The sequence below is a fragment of the Homo sapiens genome, chromosome 11, assembly GCF_000001405.40.
Source record: "Homo sapiens chromosome 11, GRCh38.p14 Primary Assembly".
NCBI classification, from domain to species: Eukaryota; Metazoa; Chordata; class Mammalia; order Primates; family Hominidae; genus Homo; species Homo sapiens.
Genome location: NC_000011.10, coordinates 115615852 through 115637926, shown reverse-complemented (window position 1 = coordinate 115637926; position 22075 = coordinate 115615852). Strand labels below are relative to the sequence as shown.

The following is a 22075-nucleotide window of genomic DNA, read 5'->3' as shown; positions in this document are numbered from 1 at the left end:
CTGGTATCTAAGTGGGCTGCTGTTTTGATAAATAGCATTTAACCATCCAGATCCTTCAGTTATCCACCTTCTGCTGAGCTAGTGCTGGGCTGAACTGTGCATGAAGTCAGCAAGACAAGCACGTTTCTGCCCTCTGGGAGCTGAGGTCTGACACCCCTCCTCGTGATGAGATAATCTCTATCAGTGGAGCCAGGTCTCCCAAACGCCATGCATCAAGCAAGTTCCAAAGAAATCAGATAATAAATTGGGGAAAGGCAAAAACTGCAAGGTCTCCTCTAGGCCATTAGAAAAATTCCCAGTTTCCTCTGAAAATTGTTCTACATTGATTCTTCTCTGTACAGATGGTCTCAGGACATAGAACAGTGTTGGGTACACAGTAGGCAACAAATATGTGTTGGATGGATGGCCAGATGAGTAGATGTCAGATGAATGGATAAATAAAATTGGATGAAGAAACAGTATGGAGAAAGACTTTTCTGATCCCCTTAAACTCACCAGCCACGCTAGGGGCAAATGACCTTGTCTCACTGTCTAATGGCCATCCACACTCTGCCTACACCAGCCCCTAGGGAGCTCAGATGTGCTTTCCTCATATCTCTGTGGAAAAGCAGTTCAGACACCTCACTCTGCCTGGGGAAGCTTCACTCTAAACCCAGGGACAGCTGGGATTATGCCTGGCCCAGAGTTCTTTATAAAGAAGCCTTAGACAATGGGAGCCGAGCTCCTTGGGAGACAAGAAGCTTTATTAAAAAGACAGCTAGTTAGAGAGTGGACAGTATTTTTAAATGCATGAGTGTGCTGAATAATTAAGCAAAAACTTTTGTTTTCATGGAAAATTTTCCTCCAAATGCTGCATCAAGCCGGGTACTGAATTTGCCACAGGCAGTTGTTGGCAAGATAGTGAGACTGTGTTTCTTCCAGTCCAGGGAAAGGGAATTCGGATCAGACCTCCAGGCTATGGCCCTCAATTCAAACATAGCCCATGCTTCCTGATGCAGAACAGTCACTCTGGGCATATTAGGAAAGGTCATTTGAAGGTCATTGTCTTTCCCCTGCCTCTGTACTGAAATCACTCATGCTCTTCCCTTGTCAAGATTATCTTTTCACTGGATCGTAAAGTTTTATAGCAACCAGGCCAACTCCCATTCTACAGAAGAAAGCATTGAGGATAAGAGAGGTTAACAGTTTTGCCAAAAGTCCCACAGCAAGTAGATGGCAGAGAGCTGATACTCTATCGAAAATGCAAAAAAAAATACAAAAAAAAATTTTTTTTTTGAGATGGAGTTTCACTTGTTGCCCAGGCTGGAGGGCAATGGAGCGATCTCAGCTCACTGCAACCTCCGCCTCCCAGGTTCAAGCGATTCTCCTACCTCAGCCTCCCGAGTAGGTGGGATTACAGGTGCCTGCCACCATACCTTGCTAATTTTTGTATTTTTCAGTAGAGACAGGATTTTACCATATTGGTCAGTCTAGTCTCGAACTCCTGACCTCAGGTGATCCACCCGCCTCAGCCTCCCAAAGTGCTGGGATTACAAGAGTGAGCCACTGCGCCCGGCTGAAAATGCCCATTTCTTAACCTTTATCATTTTCTCTTCCAACACAAATGGAATTCATCCTTCAATACCCTGCTCAAGTCTCCTCTTGCCCAATTGTTTCTTAATCTATCCCCCTACAAACATCTTTCTCTCCTTCTCTAAATTATTTTTCAAAGGATTTTTTCTTTTCCCTTTTTTCTTTTTTTTTAATTGATATATAATCATCGTACATATTCATGGTGCGCATAATGAGGTTTTGATAGATATATATGTAATGTATAGTGATCAGGGTAATTAGCATACCCATCATCTTGAACATTTATTACTTCTTTGTCTTGGGAACATTCAATATCCTTCTAGCTATTTGAAACTATATAATATAAAAGTTACTTCTTAGAATGTTTATCCTCTGCATCATTCATGGTGTAATTGGCTCCTGCTAAATCATGTTGCTAGTTAACTTTCATATGCCAACATCGTTTTTTATTAAAAAAAAAAAGTCATAAGGTCTTGGAGGGCAGAAACTCTCCCTTACACTTCTTTTGTATCGCCTTCAGCATCCAGCACATAAGTGATACTTGATAAATATTTGTTGAAAATGTGAATCAGTGGATAGATGGATGGACTGAAGGACTAAGTGATAGTGTTTACTAGGTACTTAATGAGTGAGAATAAATAAAATGATAAACTCATTAAATTATATCATGTCTGTATTTGCTTAAAGACTTAGCAGCAGCCAGGCGCGGTGGCTCACACCTGTAATCCCAGACTTTGGGAGGCCCAGGTGGGCAGATCATCTGAGGTCAGGAGTTCAAGACCAGCCTGGCCAACATGGCAAAACCCCATTTCCACTAAAAATACAAAAATTAGCCAGGCGTGGTGGCCCGAGCCTGTAATCCTAGCTACTCAGGAGGCTGAGATAGGAGAACTGCTTGAACCCAGGGGGTGGAGGTTGCAGTGAGCCAAGATGGCCCCACTGCACTCCAGCCTAGGCAACAGAGCAAGACTCCGTCTCAAAAAAAAAAAAAAGTGTAGCAGCAGCTTAGAGTTTACACACACACACACACACACACACACACACAGTGTTCAGGCAGGCCATTTCACTTCATATTCATTTTATAGATGATGAAACTGAGGCACACAGAAAACAGAAGAAACCAGCCACTCTCTCATGGCTAGGAGAAGACACAGGAGGAATTAGAAGCCCCAGCTGAAGACACACGGTCTCATTCCTTTTCAGTGGATGTTTGTGCCTTTAGTCTAAGGGATGAAGAGAAAGTAAGGTCTCCTGGAAAACCTAGGGCACCTTCCAGTGGGTTTTCTCAGGCCCTGGGAAACTGAAAGAAAATAATTCCACTCTTCAGAAAAAGGAGAAACAAAGAATACATAGTGAACGTTTATCTTCATACCCCAAATTACAGGTGTGACTAGTAGCTTAGCTTATTAATTACAAAACTGCCTTATTATGCTCTAATGAAGGCATGGCCTTCTTTTTTTTTTAATTCTCAAAGTACTTGTAGCAAATTTTAGCGTTAAAAATTACTCGAGTCAAAATTACTTACCAGTATGGTAATTCTTTCCAAGGCAACTCTAGACTTAAAGTCATTTTCCCTACCAGTACCACCCGATAGAGTAATTGGCTGCAATTAGCAATGACTTTGTCATTCCTCTCAGAATCTGGCTTCAGCATCCGTGAAACATGCAGATCTTTTTCTCTTTCCCAGTAGGGACTCAGAGCTTCTGCAAATCCCGTCCTCCATTTAGAAAGGAAAAGGAAGGTATTCCCTTGTGTAAAACACCATAGAGTCACAGAAATGGGGGAGGAGTGGACCACGCTCACCTGGCCCAGAGTTCCTGAATGGGTAACACAAAAGGGAATTTTAGGTGGCCCACAGATGGGCCTTAAATGAACTTAATAGTTTGTTTCAATATACGTTAGAGAAAGTATTGAGAGGTGACGGCGTGCGCCCTCGCTCGCTCTCGGCGCCTCTTCTGCCTGGGCTCCCACTTTGGCGGCACTTGAGGAGCCCTTCAGCCCGCCGCTCACTGTGGGAGCCCCTTTCTGGGCTGGTCAAGGCTGGAGCTGGCTCCCTCAGCTTGCAGGGAGGTGTGGAGGGAGACGCGCGAGCGGGAACCGGAACTGCGCACAGCGCTTGCGGGCCATCTGGAGTTCCGGGTGGGCTTGGGCTTCACAGGCCCTGCACTCGGAGCAGCCGGTCAGCCCTGCCGGCCCCGGGCAATGAGGAGCTTAGGACCCGGGCCAGCGGCTGCGGAGGGTGGGCTGGGTCGCCCAGCAGTGCCGGCCCACAGGCGCTGCGCTGGATTTCTCGCCGGGCCTTAGCTGCCTTCCCGTGGGGCAGGGCTCGGGACCTGCAGCCCGCCATGCCTGAGCCTCCCCCCACCCTCTGTGGGCTCCTGTGCAGACCGAGCCTCCCTGACGAGCGCCGTCCCCTGCTCCACGCGCCCAGTCCCATCGACCACACAAGGGCTGAGGAGTGTGGGCGCAGGGCGCAGGACTGGCAGGCAGCTCCACCTGCAGCCCCAGTGCGAGATCCACTGGGTGAAGCCAGCTGGGCTCCTGAGTCTAGTGGGAACTTGGAGAACGTTTATGTCTAGCTAAGGGATTGTAAATACACCAATCAGCACTCTGTCTCTAACTCAAGGTTTGTAAACACACCAATCAGCACCCTGTGTCTAGCTCAGGGTTTGTGAATGCACCAATCCACACTCTGTATCTAGCTACTCTGGTGGGGACATGGAGAACTTTTATGTCTAGCTAAGGGATTGTAAACACACCAATCGGCACTCTGTATGTAGCTCGAGGTTTGTAAACACACCAATCAGCACCCTGTGTCTAGCTCAGGGTTTGTGAATGCACCAATTGACACTCTGTATCTAGCTACTCTGGTGGGGACTTGGAGAACCTTTGTGTCCACACTCTGTATCTAGCTAATCTGGTGGGGAGGTGGAGAACCTTTGTGTCTAGCTCAGGGATTGTAAACGCACCAATCAGTGCCCTGTCAAAACAGACCACTTGGCTCTACCAATCAGCAGGATGTGGGTAGGGCCAGATAAGAGAATAAAAGCAGGTTGCCTGAGCCAGCAGTGCCAACCCACTTGGGTCCCCTTCCACACTGTGGAAGCTTTGTTCTTTCTCTCTTTGCAATAAATCTTGCTGCTGCTCACTCTTTGGGTCCACACTGCCTTTATGAGCTGTGACACTCACCGCGAAGGTCTGCAGCTTCACTCCTGAGCCAGCGAGACCACGAACCCACCAGAAGGAAGAAACTTCGAACACATCCAAACATCAGAAGGAACAAACTCTGGACACGCTGCCTTTAAGAACTGTAACACTTACCGCAAGGGTCCGCGGCTTCATTCTTGAAGTCAATGAGACCAAGAACCCACCAATTCCGGACACAGTATGACTTCCACAGCAAACCCATTAGTATGTTCAGAATGAGGACAAATTTTAAAAGTCAACCAATTGAGGCCGGGCATGGTGACTCACACCTGTAATCCCAGCACTTTGGGAGGCCAAGGCAGGTGGATCACTTGGGGTCAGGAGTTCGAGACCAGCCTGACCAACATGGTGAAGCACCATCTCTCCTAAAAATACAAAATTATCTGGGTGTGTGGTGGTGCACACCTGTAATCTCAGCTACTTGGGAGGCTGAGGCAGGAGAATTGCTTGAATTCGGGAGATGGAGGTTGTAGTGAGCCAAGATCATGCCACTACACTCCAGCCTGGGCAACAAGAGTGAAACTCCATCTCACAAAAAAAAAAAAAAAAAAAAAAAAAGCCAATTGAAAAAATATATATTTGAAGCTCTGATGAAACTTATGAAAATAGTGTGTGAATAAATTGAGGTTTGGAAAATTCTGATAACTATACACCCTCTTTCTATGGGACCAGAAACTCAAGCTCTGAGAAACAGCTGTGGCACCAGAACCCAGCTCTGGTCATTCCCAGATCATTTTTGCTTTTCTCTGCACTATGCAACATCTCCCTTCACTCCAGAGCAGTGGTCATAAACAATGTGAGATTAGCCATGCCTCCTTTGTGTGCAGAAGACACACTGTAGGATTGCTTCTCCCTTCCCCAAGCCCTCTCCCATTCCTCTCCTTCTCCAAGGTCCTGATTCCCCACTGAAGGAACGAACTTATACTCAGATAATTTCAAAATCCACCCTCTGCCCCGTGGCTAGCAACTCACACACCTACCAAACCATACTTGCCCTGGAGCCCCAGTCCTTCATGGCTCCACATCAAACCAGTTACACCCATGGCTTAGCATGCTTTTCTATACTATTAATAGTTACATATATGTATTTTTAGAGGTGCTTCCTAGAATCAAGAAAATGGTTCTAATGGTGGCATCACAGGATGACAAGGAGACAGGAAGGCTTCTTATCACCTTTCAAACATCAAACTGGGAGATGTTCTTTCAACTGCCAAGGTTTTGGGTCCCCGTGTCCCACTCTTATGAAAGAGTTGTTTGATTTACACTGTTTTGCAAATAGTCTCCAGCTATGAGAACCTCCTTGCTGACATTATCCTTCCTGCCCTCCAGCCTGAGCTGCACAAACGTTGCATTGATCGTATTTGCAAGGTCCTGTGCATGTCACTGAGCCCAAGTGATATGAGCAACCAGGTCACCTGCTCCCCAAGGCCTGATCAGGTACCCCAGGCCAGGGAGCCAAAAGAAAGGTGGCACTCGCTAACCAGCCCTATCCACTGACCAAAAATGGGTACCTCTTTTAGGACTTGTGGCCATGGGGACTCTTACCCTTTCAGAGTTTAGGAGTCTAGAAGTGTTACCTCATGACTGCTCATTTATCCTGAAGCCTCTGGCCATTGCTGGCCATCCTACGCTCCTTCTTTACTCTAAGTCTCCTGGCCTCTCTGGGGTAACCCCTAGGTGGCTTCCGTATCTCCCTCCAGATGATGAAGGAAAGCTCTTTGTGGGTTCAGCAAGTCTTAGCTGCTGAGCTAAGTGAAGGCAGGAGTGAGACCCAGCTCTTGCTAGGCCTCAGTTTCCCTGACTATAAAATGAAGGGACTTGATGTAGGTACATTCCGTTCCCCATCCATTAGTCCTTGACCTCTCTGTAGCACCATGCTTTCAAACATTTTTCTCTCGTGGGTTTTTTTAAATCTTTGTGCCTAGTAATCTGCATTCTCTACCAAAGATAAAAGAGCTCAGAGACCACCTGTTAGATACCGTCACAGAAGAGTTCTTCATAGTTCCTTCTTGGCCTTGACAAAGACTTTAAAGCCAGAGGAGTGACAGAAATCCTTTCTCTTGAAGGCCTGTATGTCAGAGAGTGAGGGATATGAAGCAAAACCTGGATTCGAGGCCTGGTTGTACCTCTGCTGGTCGAGGGCTGTGAGCAAGTTTCCCAGTCTTTCTGAGCCTCAGTTTCCTCATCCATACAATGGGGAAACAGTAGCTGCTAGGTCACAGGGTCCTCATGAGAAGTAAATGAAATCATTTACATAGCTGGCATATAGAAGGCATTCAGCATGTGCTAATGGTTAGGATTTGAACAACTGCTTTCTGAGAACAGAACCAGTTCCCTTAAAATCAGCTACTCTATTAATGACTTTCTCCCAAACCCTGGATTTAAATTGTGTGTTGAGTTTTACTGGAAAACAAAAGAGAGGAGGGTGGAAGACTGGATCTGGTGCAGATAGCCAAAAATCAGTCAGCATCTCCCCTACCCAGATGGGCAAGGAACAGAGAGGGTCGCCGGAAGTCTGGGTCGCTGGTTTCAGAGTTGCTAGTTAAAGCTGGAATCCTTGTTCCCGCCACTACCAACCCCCATCACCCCATTCCTTTCCATCCCCTCTCCTTTCAATCAAACACTTCAAAGAGGCGCCCGGAGAAGGGAACTGTGAATTCTCTGCTCACTAGTTGTCATGAGAGGAAACCAAAGAATGTTTCTTTTCGAGACTGCGTCTGCTCATCCAAACCAGTTTTACTAGCTGGGGGGACCTGAGCTCAAAGGCAGGCTCATGGGCTGATGAAATTCAGATGTGAGGCCGCAGAGAAATTGCACTACGGACAGGAAAATGAGAGGCGCCCAGCAACACTGGGCTGGGCAAGGGCCAGGACAGCAGGAGAGGGTGCAGGAGAGGGAGAGAAAGGGTCACTGTGGGGGTCAGAAGAGGGAGAGGGGGCGCCCGGGAGAAAAGCAGATAGTGAGAAGAAAAGAGCCGAGAAAGGCAGAAAGAGAAAAGAGGAGAGAGGAGAAGAGAAGAGACAAAGCCTGAGAAAGCATTTTATTTTTCTTCTTTAAAGAGTGAAAAAAACAAACACTCCAACTGTTTCAACTGACAGGGAATGTTCATCTGCTGAAGGCATTATTAGGACGGGAGATAAGGAAACCACGGAGATAGGAAATAATTATTTTGTATCTGTCTTTATAAATGAAAATGAAGGGCATTAACTTAAATAGGATTTAGATTTTCAGGGACAGAAGGGAATGAATTAGGAAATAATTCTGATAACAAAGGAAATGTTTATTAAAAGGTCAGGGGGGGCTCTTGAAACTGACAAGGCCTCATGGGCCAGATTTAAAACCCCTGCTAAGCTGCGAGGGAGTTCCAGCAGGGCCAGAGCTACGGGGTCCAGTGGGTACCACTTGTGCGAGATAACTCAGCTCAGGGCAGAGGATCGGTGGAAAAGATGACTGACCTCCTGGCCTGACTTGGAAGTCAGTGGCCTGTAACTCAACAGGTGGGAGCCAGGCACCTGTGCTAAGAGCAGAGCAGAAGTGGGCAGAGGCATCCTGGGCTGGACTCAGCTTCCACAAGGATCCTTCATCCTCACTTCCACCCTCCTGCTAGCTTGTGGGAGGGGTGCTACATGGAGAAATTGGGTGGGAAGGGAAAAAAGGAAGGAGCCACATCAGTGACAATGCCACATTCACAGATCCCCACAGCCTGAATGCCCTCCATGAAGTCCTCTGTCTCCCGGGTGTGTACCCAACTAGGCCAGATGGAGCTCTCCCCAGCATTTCTCCATTCTTTCTATGGAGGCACCTGGAAAACAGTAGCTGGGAGCCTGCACTGTGGCATCGGATTGCCTGGGTCTACATTCTGATTCTGTCTCTTTCAAATTGCTGACTTTAGATGAGTTATTTCAATTATTTGGACCTGGCTGGACACAGTGGCTCACACCTGTAATCCCACCACTTTGGGAGGCCAAGGTGGGTGGATCACTTGAGGTCAGGAGTTTGAGACCAGCCTGGGCAACATGGCAAAACCCCGTCTCTACTAAAAATACAAAAAAAAAAAAAAAAAAAAAAATTAGCCAGGCATGGTGGCACATGCCTGTAACCCCAGCTACTTGGGAAGCTGAGGTAGAAGAATTGCTTGAACACGGGAGGCAGAGGCTGTTGTGAGCTGAGATTGCACCATTGCACTCCAGCCTGGGCAACAGAGCAAGACTTCATCTCAAAAAAAAAAAAAAAAAAATTACCTGGACCTCAGCTTTCTCAGATGTAAAATAGAAATCTAATGATCATACCTCTCTCATAGGGTAGTTGGAAGGATTAAGTGACACAATATTAAAAAGTTCATTGGGAGGTCAAGGTGAGCAGGTCATCTGAGGTCAGGAGTTCGAGACCAGCCTGGCCAACATGGTGAACCCTTGTCTCTACTAAAAATACAAAAATTAGCCAGGCATGGTGGTACTTACCTGTAATCCCAGCTACTCTGGAGGCTGAGGCAGGAGAATTGCTTGAACCCAGGAGGCAGAGGTTGTAGTAAGCCGAGATCACGCCACTGCACTCCAGCCTGGGTGACACAGTCAGACTCTGTCTCAAAAAGAAAAAAGAAAAGAAGAGAAAAAGAAAAGTTGATAGAACAGTAAATATAGTAAATAATAAAATTATATTTATTATAACACAATTATTAGAGGTATCCTGGCTAACCTTCAAAACCAAGTAAGTTCTTCTTTATGTCTAAATTTAGTGCCTCCTCTTGTCATTTGGGCCTCTCTCCTGATTGAAAAGAATTAATTGCCGCTCAAGTCCACCTACATGTCTGCCTGCCTTGGCTTTGATTTCTGTCACAGAAGTGGCTCTTCCTCACTCCCCTTCTGTCCTTCTCTTCCACCCCCAGCAGGGTTGGAGGTGGAAAGCTTTTCAACAGCCAAAACTGGTGTCTGTAGACTGACCGTGTTAAAGCCTCCAACAGGAGAGGGAATCAGAGGCTCAAGTTCAGGAGCAAGGGAAGCCACAGATTGCCATGGCCTCATCTCCCAGAACCGTGTGGCAACGTGAAGCTTGGAGGGTGTTTCGGAGCTGCAGGATCTGCCTCCAGTGCTGATACTGTAAGTACCCAGGACACCTTCCAGGGGCAGAACTTCACACGAGGACTCCTTTGCAGGTGTCTAAGCTTAGCGTTTCTGTGCGGAAATCTGGGGGCTGGCTCTGTGGACTCACTGAAAGCTCTCTGCTGACAGAATCAGATAATCAGCTAATACCTGACCCCGCCGCGTCCTGAGCCTTGGACTGATACATAACAATGTCATCAGGCCTGCCTTCTAAGAGCCTTAGCCAGCTTACCTCCTCTTTCAGAGAGTCTGCCCTGGGTAATTATTCCAAACTCGTGCCTGTGAGGAGGGCTAAGTGTCCTGTCACTGTAATCCTCTGGGACGATCTCTCCTAACACCCCCTTCTCTCCACAATTGGCACTCCCAAAGTTCTGTGCTGGCCCTTGGAGATGGTAGCTTACTCCCGCCAGGGGGTAGCTCTCTTAGATGAGTTCCTGAGAAAATGGGTTGAGACAAAAGATTGGCCCTGGGATCCGCAGAGGTGGAGGCCAAGAGGAGGCCCCCAAGTGCACCTGTTCTAGGAATCCCAAGCTGAGAGCCAACCCTTCCCAACCAACCTTGCAAATAGTCACTGGCCCACCCATTCAGGTCAATGGAAAACCAGTGTAAATGAAGTAGCAGAGGCCCAAGATGTCCAAGTGCCTCCAGCTTAGGAGCATTCCAAGGAGGGGAAAATATTTGACTTGTTGGTAAATCAATATTTGTGTTTCTGCATAAAGCCAGGAGACTTACCTGCTCCTCAGTCTGGAATGGGTACCTGCAAAGTGGGAGGGAAGAGACAGCCTAGACTAGAATCTCAGCTCTGGACTTCCCTTAACCACCTCTCTGAGTGTCCTGAATTTCCTCATCTTAAGAAAGGGGAGGTCCTTTTGTAGTTCATAAGCGAGATGATTGGGTGTTCAGGCACATGTGTGAGATGTGCCTCCTTCAAACCTTGTTACAACGTCAGCACATTACCCGCCTGACATGAAAAAAAAAAAAGGAGGGGGAATAATAGTATCAACCTCATGGGGATTTCTGTGAAGATTAAATGAGCAAGTAAGTGCCAATTGCATAATACCAAGCACATCGTGAATGCCTGATACACTTCGGCCTTTTTAAATTGCTTTTATACTCATTCAGTATTTTATAGTTTACAAAGCATGTCCACATATACGTATTAACTAATTCAGTCCTCACAGCATCCCTGTAAGGAAGTCATCATGGACTCCAAGTTTTGGAGACGGAACATCAAAGCTCAGGGAAATCTAATGACTTGCCCAAGGTCAATAATTCATATTTTTAAACAATCCAATCAAGACCAGTTGCTTGCTTAGGGTTTTGACCATTTGGTACAGGTATCAAAAGCTAAACACCAAATGTGAATCATTACCCACTTCCTTGAAGTGTCTTGCCAAAAGGGTATGATTGTGGTTTCATGCTGACCTGACCTGCACCTGTACCTGAGCCAGACCAAAACTTGGCCCTCTATGGGGCGTTTGCAGGGTTGAAGATAGATCAGTGTCATTGTGCAAATTATTTCAAAGCCATGAGGATTCAGGGCTCTCTTGTAGCTCAGTGGAGAGTGTAGAGAAGAGGGTGACGATGTCACACATGAATAATGCATAGAGGGTGCTAAACTTCAGTTTAAGCAAGATCCAAATGCTCATTTCATCTTTGATTTCTCCTTCTGGCTGTGCCATTCCCCATAGCCACTGATCCCAGGGCCTTCTGCTGGAACTGTATGGCTGCCCGCTAAATTGGCTGTTCTTGATAGTGAATAGAAAGAGGAGGGGGGCTGGAGGCAGAGAGAAAAAAAAGATAAGTTGAGGGGAGGGGATTAGGGAAGATGAAAGAGGGAGATGAGAGAAGGAAGCTCTTTCACTGTACTACTCTTACGCAGACTGCCATGGACCCCGAGAACTTGGTGAGGTTTTGTTCCGGGAGAACTTTTCCGGTCTTTTCACTGTGTGGCTGTCACAGACTGAGCTCACTTCTCAAGAAGTGGGAGCGGTACAGGGCCGGGCCCCAGTCTGATGGGGAGACCAGCAGAGGAGTCCTGCCGTCATTCGCAGGGGAGCGAAAGGGGACTTTCAGACAGGGCAGAAGGCAGACTTTGCTCAGCATGACCCAAAGCCCAGCCTCAGGAGCTGAACACAAATATGGAAATAACAGCACAGATTCTGGGGATGTGACACAGGCGGCTTTTGCCCCGGCTGTGAATCTGGAAACAAATGAGAACTACAAAACCGGCTTGTTTGGTTTAGTGAGGAGGCAGGTGCCAAAACAGCAAATGTCACCCTCCCCATTAAGCCTGGGCAGTTTAGATTCCCATTAGTCCTAGAAATGGGATACAGCCTCTGTGGGGTCAGAAGGCCAGAGGCTGCAGCAGCATTGTAGCATCAAGCGGGGAGAGAGGACACAGAAAGACTTGTGATGTCAGCCCTAGGTGGGGCCGGTCTGTTTTAAGGAGATGTTCTAAGTTCAAACCCAGGGAAGATGGGCTTTGGCAAGCACAACTGAAAAGATTTCCACTTGTCCCCTTCTTAAAAATCAGTAGGTAGACTGACTACTCTAGGATAAACTGCCAGCAGCTTTGTTTTCTTTGGGGCCGCCATCTGAAGCAGCTGCAGCTGATTTTAATGAGACATAATAATATTCTATCAGTTCTGTGAGCTATAGACTGAGCCCACTGAGGGAACCTGCTCAACCCCCAAAATGATCAGACTTGTCAAAATATGATCATTTTGTTCCTTATTATAAATGAAAAGAAGATATGATTTAAGTGTCATCCTCTGGGTATGGGAGCTGGATTCCTATAAATCAATCATCCCAAATAAACTCTTTGGACTGATTTCACTACAAATATGCTGCAAACAATTTCTTTAAACAAAGCATAAAAGTATTACTGTATCTCTGCAACGTCAAAATGGCTTTAGATATGCATTATTGGGTTGCTGGGGTGTTCTTTGGTTAAAATATGTTATTTATGGTGTTGCGCCTGACAGGCGAAGTCAGTGCTGACTGCCTGCTGGATAAACCTCCCTCTTGGTTGCCTCTCAGTCCCCAACAGTGAAAATGGTGAAAGAGGACGGGTGTCCAGGGTAGGGAGAGGTCCAAGGGCCAGGCTGGGGTCCCTAGACTTTGCATATGTGACATATTTCATCTTCATAATGGCTCCCATTATATTGAAGGGTGGTAAGCATATAATTTCAGGCTATAGCCTATTTGAATAGGATTTCCAGGTCTGTTACTAGCCATCAGACTTAGAAAATCATACGATGCCTCTTTCATTCAGTTTTCTTTCTTAAAATGGGGACAATGGTGACAACAATAACATCTAACTCTTTTGGTTTTTGTGCGGATCCAACAGGGGTAAACATGGGAAAGTACTTAGCATGGTGTCAGACACATGGTTGCACCAGGTCATGTTAGTTAGCTATTGTTATTATTATTAGAAACCCTGGGAGTTGCAGGGCATGGTGGCTCACGTCTGTAATCCCAGCACTTTGGGAGGCCAAGGCGAGCGGATCACTTGAGGTCAGGAGTTTGAGACCAGCCTGGCCAACATGGGGAAACCTCATCTCTTTACTAAAAATACAAAAATTAGCTGGGCGTTGTGGTGCATGCCTGTAATCCCAGCTACTGGAGAGGCTTAGGCACGAGAATCGCTTGAACCCGGGAGGCAGAGGTTGCAGTGTACCAAGATCACGCCACTGCACTCCAGCCTGGGTGACAGAGCCAGACTCCTTCAAAAAAAGAAAAAAAAAAAAGGAGAAACCCAGGGAATTTTCTGTCCCAAGGAGGTGCTATGGAGCAAAGCTATGCTCATAGACTGTAATCTGTCTTAACATGATGTCTTCACTTTATTCTGTCCAGAAAACTAGACTTGCAGAGGACAATGAACAACCCTATGCCATAGAGTTCTGAAGCCCCATCTTCCCCTAAGGTGCCTGCATCATCGGTCTCAGAAAGAAGGCAGTGTAGGGAAGGAGGTGACGTACTAAGAGTTTTTCCGCAAAGTAGATTTGTCTATTAAGCCCCATGTCACCGGCTTTCCATCTCTCTACACTCACCTGGACAGGCATTTCTTCCATGCCACATTTTTGTAGCGCTCCAATCTGTCCACATTTTAACAACCTTGTACCTCAGTCGAGATAGAGCCTGAAAAGTTTAATATCATGTCAAATAAGAGAGCCAATAAAACTTGACATTATTAATATGATGTCAAGGTTTTTTTTTCCCAACTGCTTAGGGAAAAAACATTGTGTCCCATTAAGTTGAGCTCCTTGCACTGAGAAATATTAAGTGACTTTTCAATGACTACCAGCTGGAACTATTAGTTTTCTTCATAAGCATTGCTGCCGTCGATTCTGAGAGGCCAGTTGAGAACCTTTTATGAAGATGCTGGATGAGCTGGTGCAATCAGAAAAGCTTTTAGGTTTCCCTGGGATCCCTCTTTAAGTGGGGCTGTGTATGGAAATGGGGATATGAATTATTAAAAGGCTTAAATACATTTGGCTGAGAGAGCATGGGCTTCATACTCCCTCTGTCCATTTATCCCCAAAGGACTGCAGTAGCCTTTCAGGACAATCTGGTGTGGACTGGAAAACCAAGGCCAGAGTCCTGGAAAGAGGAGCACACAGGGCTTCCCTCACTGCCTGGCACCCCCTGCCCCAGCCGTCAGCAGCATCACGGTGGGTACAAGAGCTGCTGGTGTGGTGCGGCCCACTGTTCCGCCCTGGCAAGGGAGGGGGCATGAGTGCCCACAGCTGCTCCTGGCCCTTGCTCACACTGGGCTTCTGGGAAGGACACTGTCAGGAAGCTGTTGGGGGCCTCTGTTTCCCTTGGCCGGGGTCCATGGTTGCTTCACAGCACGTGGCTTTCCATGTCAGAGTCCCTTCCCGGGAAGAGGTCAGGACTTAAAATAAGCTGGCGTGACTCATGTCTGAGTTGGGAGATGCCTCGTGCAAGTGCTGGCTTTTCAGGAATGTGCAGCTGGGGCAGCTGAAAAGAAAGCTCCAGAGGCTCAGACCTGGATTTCCAGAGTCTTTTGGCTGCTCAAGCCCAAATAAGATTGTTTCAACTGTTCCTACATCTGGACTGTTCAGACACCAGCATTTCTCCTAGGCTTTCTTATCCCCAGGGAAGCTGTTTCTGTAGCATTTACCCCATTTCCGACCCCACCCCAACACCATTTGGCTACCCACCCAAGTGTCTCATCACTTTCATTGTGGATGACTTTTATAGTTCCTAGCTGTGACACCTTCTAAGAGGTATACCTGTGTTCTTAATCTCAGGAATCCAGTGAGCTGGCTACAGAGGCAGTTGCAAGCTGGTGCTTATTTATGTAAGGCTGGAGTGTTTATTATAGGGTTGTATTCCTTTAGTGAGATCAAAAAATTAAGAGATGGATGGCAAACAGAACAGTCCTTATTTAGACTTCTGTGATGTTCCAGTTGACATACTTCCCCCTTGCCCTTTGCCCCCACTCATCCTGCACCATCTGGGGGCACATGACCCCGGGGATAGCAGATGGAAGGCAGCTTGCTCTTCTTAAATTTCACCCAACTCTTAAGAGACCTCTAGGGAAAATACCCTTGGGATGGTTCCTTAGGGGCACCTTGAGCACTCAAACCCCAATACTGTGGTCAGGAGCAGCTGATGAGGAAAATCCCTGTCCATGGACTTCTCTCTTCTCCATGGAAGTTCAGGATTGGATGATTCAGCCAAGGGCAAGGAGGTTGGGTGAGAAATTTGTCTTGTACAGGTATAGCGTAATTGACAGCAGCTATTCCTCTCTGCTTCCATTGATCTCAAGATAAAACAGAAGACAATTATTATTATTGTAGAAGGAATTTAGTTCAAATGCCAGAAGAATCTCCCAACTCCCAAGATGGTGGCCTTCATGAAGCTGTGAAATCTCTAGTGCAGGGGGTCCCCCTGTTCTGAGCTCTTAGCTTCACCCCAGCTCAAATCCGACAATTCCTAAGCAGCACCTTTCTTTTTCTGGGACATGATCTAGAAGGCTCATATAGCTTACTTGGGATTTTGAAGTGATAACTCCAAGAAAATTGGGAGAGTCAAGTGAACCTTGGATAAAGAATGAAATAGAGGCTGGGTGCAGTGGCTCATGCCTGTAATCCCAGAACATTGGGAGGCTGAGGCAGGTGGATCACTTGAGGTCAGGAGTTCAAGACCAGCCTGGCCAACCTGGTGAAACCCCATCTCTACTAAAAATACAAAATTTAGCCAGGCCTGGTGGCACGCGCCTGTAGTCCCAGCTACTCAGGAGGCTGAGGCAGGAGAATCGCTTGAATCTGGGAAGCAGAGGTTGCAGTGAGCTGAGATCGTGCTACTGCACTCCAGCCTGGGCGACTAAGTGAGACTCTGTCAAAAAAAAAAAAAAAAAAAAGAAAGAAAGAATGAAATAGAAACAGGTCTGCAAACCTGGGCTACTGTGGGAAAGGATGGAAGACTAAAAAACAAGAGACTCCGTCACAATTGTTCAGAAGCAAATTCAACTCTACCTCTGGGCTTTGGTTTCCAGGAAAATAAGACCTGCCTGGACCTATATTAGAATTGTTGTTAGGATCCAGTGAAATCATGGATAGAAACATCTCAGGAAAAAATATAAATTACTTTAAAAATATAGAGGATTACCACTCTTACCAGTCCACCTTCCCGCTCAGAGCTGACAGTGAGGATGTCCCCCAATGGTGGGAGGTAGAATCAGATGACATTTAAGATCCCCTTCACCTCTAAGAGTCTATGGATATATTCTCATTCTTCCCCCTATAGGTTTCACTTAGCCCACTCTTCATTTTGAGGCAGGGCAAGGGAGCAGAGTATATGAGCTGGCAACTCTCAGTCTACTTAGAGCAAAGACTGACATCCGGGACACACGCTGCAACACAGACAAACCCTGGGGACATTATGCTAAGTGAAATAAGCGAGGCACAAAAAAGACAAATGCTACATGATTCCCTTTCTGTGACATACCTAGAATGGACAAAGCCGTAGAGACAGAAAGTGGAATGGTGGTTACCAGGGGCTGTGGGGAGTGGGATGAGGAATTAGTGTTTAATGGGTATAACGTTTCAATTCAAGAGGCTAAAAAAGTTCTGGAGATGGACTGTGGCGATGGGTGCACAACAATCTGAATATACCTAATACCCGTGAGCTGCGCACTTAAAAATTGTGAAAATGGGCCAGGAGCGGAGGCTCACGCTGTAATCTCAACACTTTGGGAAGCTGAGGCAGGTGGATTACTTGAGCTCAGGAGTTTGAGACCAATCTGGGCAACGTGGAAGAACCTTGTCTCTACAAAAAATACAAAAAAAAAAAAAAATTAGCTGGATATGGTAGCATGCGCCTGTAGTCCCAGCTACTCAGGAGGCTGAGGTGGGAGGATCACTGGAGCCCGGGAGGCCAAGGCTGCAGTGACCATGACCGTACCACTGCACTCCAGCCTGGGGGACAAAGTGAGACCCTGCCTCAAAAAAAAAAAAAAAAAGGTTAAAATGGTAAATTTTGTCATGTATATTTAACCACAATTTTAAAAATCCCTGACATCAAGTCATACAGCTATGAAGTAATAAATTCCAATTCAAACCTAGGAGTAAGGTTTAGCCACTAAAATATACTGTTTGTCATGACAAACTGACCTGCCACCGTCCCCCTATGATTTGGGAAGGCTATCTCATTCATTGTCCTATTGGTGACGGCAGCAAGAAAGGATTCCACAATGGTGTGGGGTTGTCATCTGTGCCCCTAAGCACCCAATGTTGTACATGTCACAGAATCTGGGATTTTAAGAAAGCCTTAAGTTTGTGTTATCCCAGCTGGGGTAGCTCAAGACCATCCTTGGGCCCAGCAATTGGAGGCGTTCTCCCAAGCAAATGGAGGGAATTGTCTCTCTCTCCTTTTTGCTGCAGCTCAACCTTTCTTCACCTTCCTGCTTTAATGACTTAATCAAGTGTCAGATGAGAGGAACTGATCCATGCAAAGGACAGAAGTTTCAACAGGATGTGTGGAACCCACTGCTGCTCCCTTCCCCTGCCCCAGAGTCACCGCCCTACCAGAGAAAGATGGGGGAGACAGAAAAAGAAAAGAGAAAAAGGCGAGAGAGATTTTGTACCCTTAAGCCTCCACTGCCGCAGTTCAAAAGACCAATCTTTACTGAAAATAAATTTAAAGGAGAATTTTTGATGTATATTATGGTCTCTGGTGGTAGACAAGAGCACTGCCGGCAGTGTATGGAGTTATGCAAAGCCAAAGTGGGATTACTTAAAAGTGTCTGTAGTGCTTTGATTAACTGGTGTGTATTTTATTTTTTATATGACACAATCACAGGCCTACATTGATAATATCTTGCTATTATTGTTTGACAGTTGAATCTCCCTTTTTCCTATCACTTGGAAGTGGGCTTTGTGCAGTTTGGGGCAAGGAGCAGAGGATCAAGATGATCCCCAAAGGGATAAAAATGAGATGTGGTCCCAACTTCTCATTTAAAAAAAATAAATAAAAGCAGTGTATAAAAGCCCCAGGACCTGTCATAGAAAATGAAGAACTGACAGATCAGACAATAGAGACTCAAACAGATGGCCAAGTGCATGGGCTGAAAGAGAGTCCAAACTACCTTCTGAGGTTTCTTATGCCTGTCTGGAAAATATCCCCCCATGAATACATCCTCTGGGAATCAGAGGATGCCCCACCTTTCTCTGTTCTGCTTTGGGACACAGGCTCTGGAACGCTACAAATTGCATTTCTCTTTTGCCAGTTAGCTCCTGCTTGGCTCTGCATCTAGCGGGAGCTAGAGGGAGATGAGAAAGCTGAAGGAGATGAGAAAGGATTTGTTGCTCCCTATTTGCCTGGTGCTTCTGCCAGTGTCGTGCCTGGAGAGAAGCTCTGTCCAGTAATTGCTTCCAACTGACAGCTTCATTGGCTCTCCCAATACCAGCCTCACTGCACGCCCCCCAAGAGGTCACAGCACCAGCCAGGCAGTGCCCCCTTCTTGGACATCTGAGTCCCCACTCCACAGAGCCCCTTCCCAAGCTCCTAAGATATTAGCAGCAGCTGTGTCACACCTCAGAACTCTGAGCCTTGGGGCCCCTCCTTCAAGCTTCAGAGGCAGCAGCAGCACCCAGGCAGCACCCCCAGCTTTGAGGTGTAGCTCCAAGTGCTGCAGGGTTCCTCCTCGGAGCTTCTCGGTTCTGGTAACCCCAGGTTCTCCTCATTGTTCATCCAGACCTAGGTAAGGACTGCTTCCTTCCATTTAACCAAGCCCCTGTATAAAATATTTTCTGTTGAAATGCCTAGAGTGGTTTCTGTTTTTCTGACTGTACTCTGCTCCTTGAAACAAAGTTGTCTGAGCACTTGGGGCCAAGGGATGGAGGATTGCACCATCCTCCTTAAGGCAAAGATGATGCAGACCAGGACTTGGGCCTGGCTGGGCAGCATTCCTGAGGCTCACAAAGCCCAGGAAGAGAGGCCCATCAAGCCAGTTCACCACCTCACAGGGTATGAATAATTCTCATGGAGGTAAGGATACCAACTGTGGTGGCTGAGAAACCTGGAGAATCCTCTTCACTCCACTGGGCAGGAAATGAAAGGTGAGGCAAGGAGAAAATCCACTCAGGGCCAGACATGGTGGCTCACACCGGCAGTCCCAGCCAGCACTTTGGAAGGCTGAGGCAGGAGAACCACTTGAGACTGGGAGGTCGAGGCTGCAGTGAGCCATTGTCATACCACTGCACTCCAGTCTGGGTCACAGAACAAGACCCTGTCTCAAAACAAACAACAACAACAAAAAACCCTCACTCAGGCCTTGCCTTGGAAACTCTCTAGAACGAGGAAATAGGCCCTTGGGATGCATCCTCTTCGTTCATAGAATGGGCAGAGCAGCTGTTTTCCTGGCTGGCTTTTCCCAACTGAGTCTCTTGCCATCCCCCTCTGGAGCTCACAAAAACAAACTCAGAGATTTATTTTTCTTTCTAATTTCCTGAGATCTCATAAGTACTAGTCTGACTCTCCCTGCACCCTAGTTCCTTACATCCTCTGCTCATGCACACACTGCACCGTGGAGGGTCTTGTCTAAGGCCTGAGCTGAGAATTCCATCGTTGACCCCATCCTCCACATCCACTGGTGTCTAAAAATAGAAGCCAAGTCTCTATTGTCACTGTGCTAGGAGATTATGTGTTTGAAGGCAAAATATACACTCTGGTGTTCATGGGCACAGCCCTTCTGCCCTCCCACCTGCCCTGGTATAAGCTTGAGGCTTTGGGGAGTCATTTTATTTCCTCCCCAGCCAGATTCTCTATCTGAACTTCCTCCAAACATAGTGGGGAGTCTTCTATTCTTAAAAGATAACTATGACATTTCTTTATTCTTTAGCTCTGTATGTCCTCTGGTTCATTCAGGTAGATCCCCTTTTAGCATTGTAAAGTCAAAAGACCTGGCCTCTCACTAGCTGTGTGACTTCTGGTGAATTGATTAATCTCTCTGAGTTCCAAACTCTCTCACTTGAAAATCCCGGCAAAGATTGTCTATTTCACAGGGTTGTCCTGAGGGTCAAATACGATAATATATGTAAGAGCATTTTGTGCACAGTAAAGTCCTGTACAAATGGGAGGTGATATTATTGCAACAGTTGCTGCCCAAGCCACTCACTGCATTATTATTATCTAAGTCCTCCTTCTGGTGCTTTAAACTCATTTCTTTTTGCTCTGTCTGGTTGGGTTATGGCTGTTGATTTCTCCCTGGGGCTCCAGCTGCAGACAGAAGAAGGCTGAATCAGCCCTGTGTTTCCAGTATTGATTCTAAGAACTCTCTCCAGGCCTCTAGCCCCACCAGGCTCCCCAGAGCATGGCCCAAGCTGTCCCTGGGGGGCCATATTTTTAGGCCTATCCAGTTCCAACTGTGAAGCTTCTTCAGACCGGGCTGGCAGGAGCCCAGGCAGTGTGTGCATGAATCATAACTGCCTGTGGTCCCATTATGCAGGTCAGGGTGGCTGTGGAGGAGGCAGGGCCCTGACCTCAGAGGTCCGGGGATTATTTATTGCCTTTGGCCTCATGGGCTAATTTGGGCCTCTGCCCAGCCCGGGGGAAATGTCTTCATCTTCCTTCTTCCCCAAGGGCAAGGTGAATTCAACTCTCTTTATTGTCTACCTCATAGGAATAAAAGATGGGGGCTGGCGGGGAGGGGAGAAAAAATGTAGCACTCCCAAGAACAACATCCTATACTAAATTCTGCAGTAAAAAAAAAATTGGGCCAGGCGCAGTGGCTTATGCCTATAATCCCAGCACTTTGGGAGTCCAAGGTGGGCAGATCTCTTGAGGTCAGGAGTTTGAGAGCAGCCTGGCCTACATGGCAAAACCCTGTCTCTCCTAAAAATACAAAAATTAGCTGGGCATGGTGGCAGGTGCCTGTAATCCCAGCTACTCGGGAGGCTGAGGCATGAGAATCACTTGAACCTGGGAGGTGGAGGTTGCAGTGAGCTGAGATTATACTACTGCACTCCAGGCTGGGTGACAGAATGAGACTCCGTATCAAAAAAAAAAAAATATATTAAACAGAGAACCCCAGCTCTCAAGGAGTTTATAAAGGTAATGAAAATCACCTATGGGAACAATCTTAGCCCCTTACAATTGATCTAATAGCACGCATGCTAAAACAGTGCCAGGCAGTGGGAGCATCAGATCTAGGAAGGATTAAGGAAGGTGAGAGGCAATCAGGAAATATTTCTTAGATAACATCCCCTTTTTCTTTCTTTTTTAAACAAGCGCTTTGCAGAAAATTAGAAAATGAATATGTAAAAAGAAGAAAATAAAAATCACCCATAATCCCTACCTGAGGATAATGACTCTCTACAGGTTGATCTATGCCCTTCCAGACATTTTTCGATACATGTATTTATATTCATACAATATTAATAAAAATCAAATTATTCTGGGTGTACTATTTTATAACCTACTTATTTCACTTAATTTCTTGTGTCAATAGATATATATCTTCATTATTTTTAATGACTGCTAATAATTCTCTTGCATGGATGTAAAAGAGAATGTGTATGAATTTTGCCAGTCCTCTGTTATTGGACATTTCAGAGATTTCCAGTTTGTGCCACCTTAAACAATGCTTCAGTGAACATTCTGGTGCTCAGCTCTTTATGGACATGTATGATTATTTCTTTAGGATAAGTTCCTAGAAATAAAAG

General features: G+C 46.4%; 1 non-coding gene across 1 annotated transcript, besides 2 other annotated features; it reads left to right on the top strand.

Annotated features, from left to right (window-relative positions):
* Positions 3267-3812: an enhancer, noted in NCBI's record as "H3K27ac-H3K4me1 hESC enhancer chr11:115504833-115505378 (GRCh37/hg19 assembly coordinates)". NCBI's record gives its function as "activates a minimal SCP1, AML or CMV promoter by ChIP-STARR-seq in naive H9 embryonic stem cells {active_cell/tissue: H9 hESC(naive)}" and the evidence as "EXISTENCE:reporter gene assay evidence [ECO:0000049][PMID:30033119]".
* Positions 3813-4358: an enhancer, noted in NCBI's record as "H3K27ac-H3K4me1 hESC enhancer chr11:115504287-115504832 (GRCh37/hg19 assembly coordinates)". NCBI's record gives its function as "activates a minimal SCP1, AML or CMV promoter by ChIP-STARR-seq in naive H9 embryonic stem cells {active_cell/tissue: H9 hESC(naive)}" and the evidence as "EXISTENCE:reporter gene assay evidence [ECO:0000049][PMID:30033119]".
* LOC124902826 (small nucleolar RNA U13) lies at positions 10742-10845 on the top strand. Its single transcript, XR_007063011.1, has one exon. It is a non-coding gene; the product is annotated as a small nucleolar RNA U13 (small nucleolar RNA).
* Positions 10846-22075: the final 11230 nt, after the last annotated feature.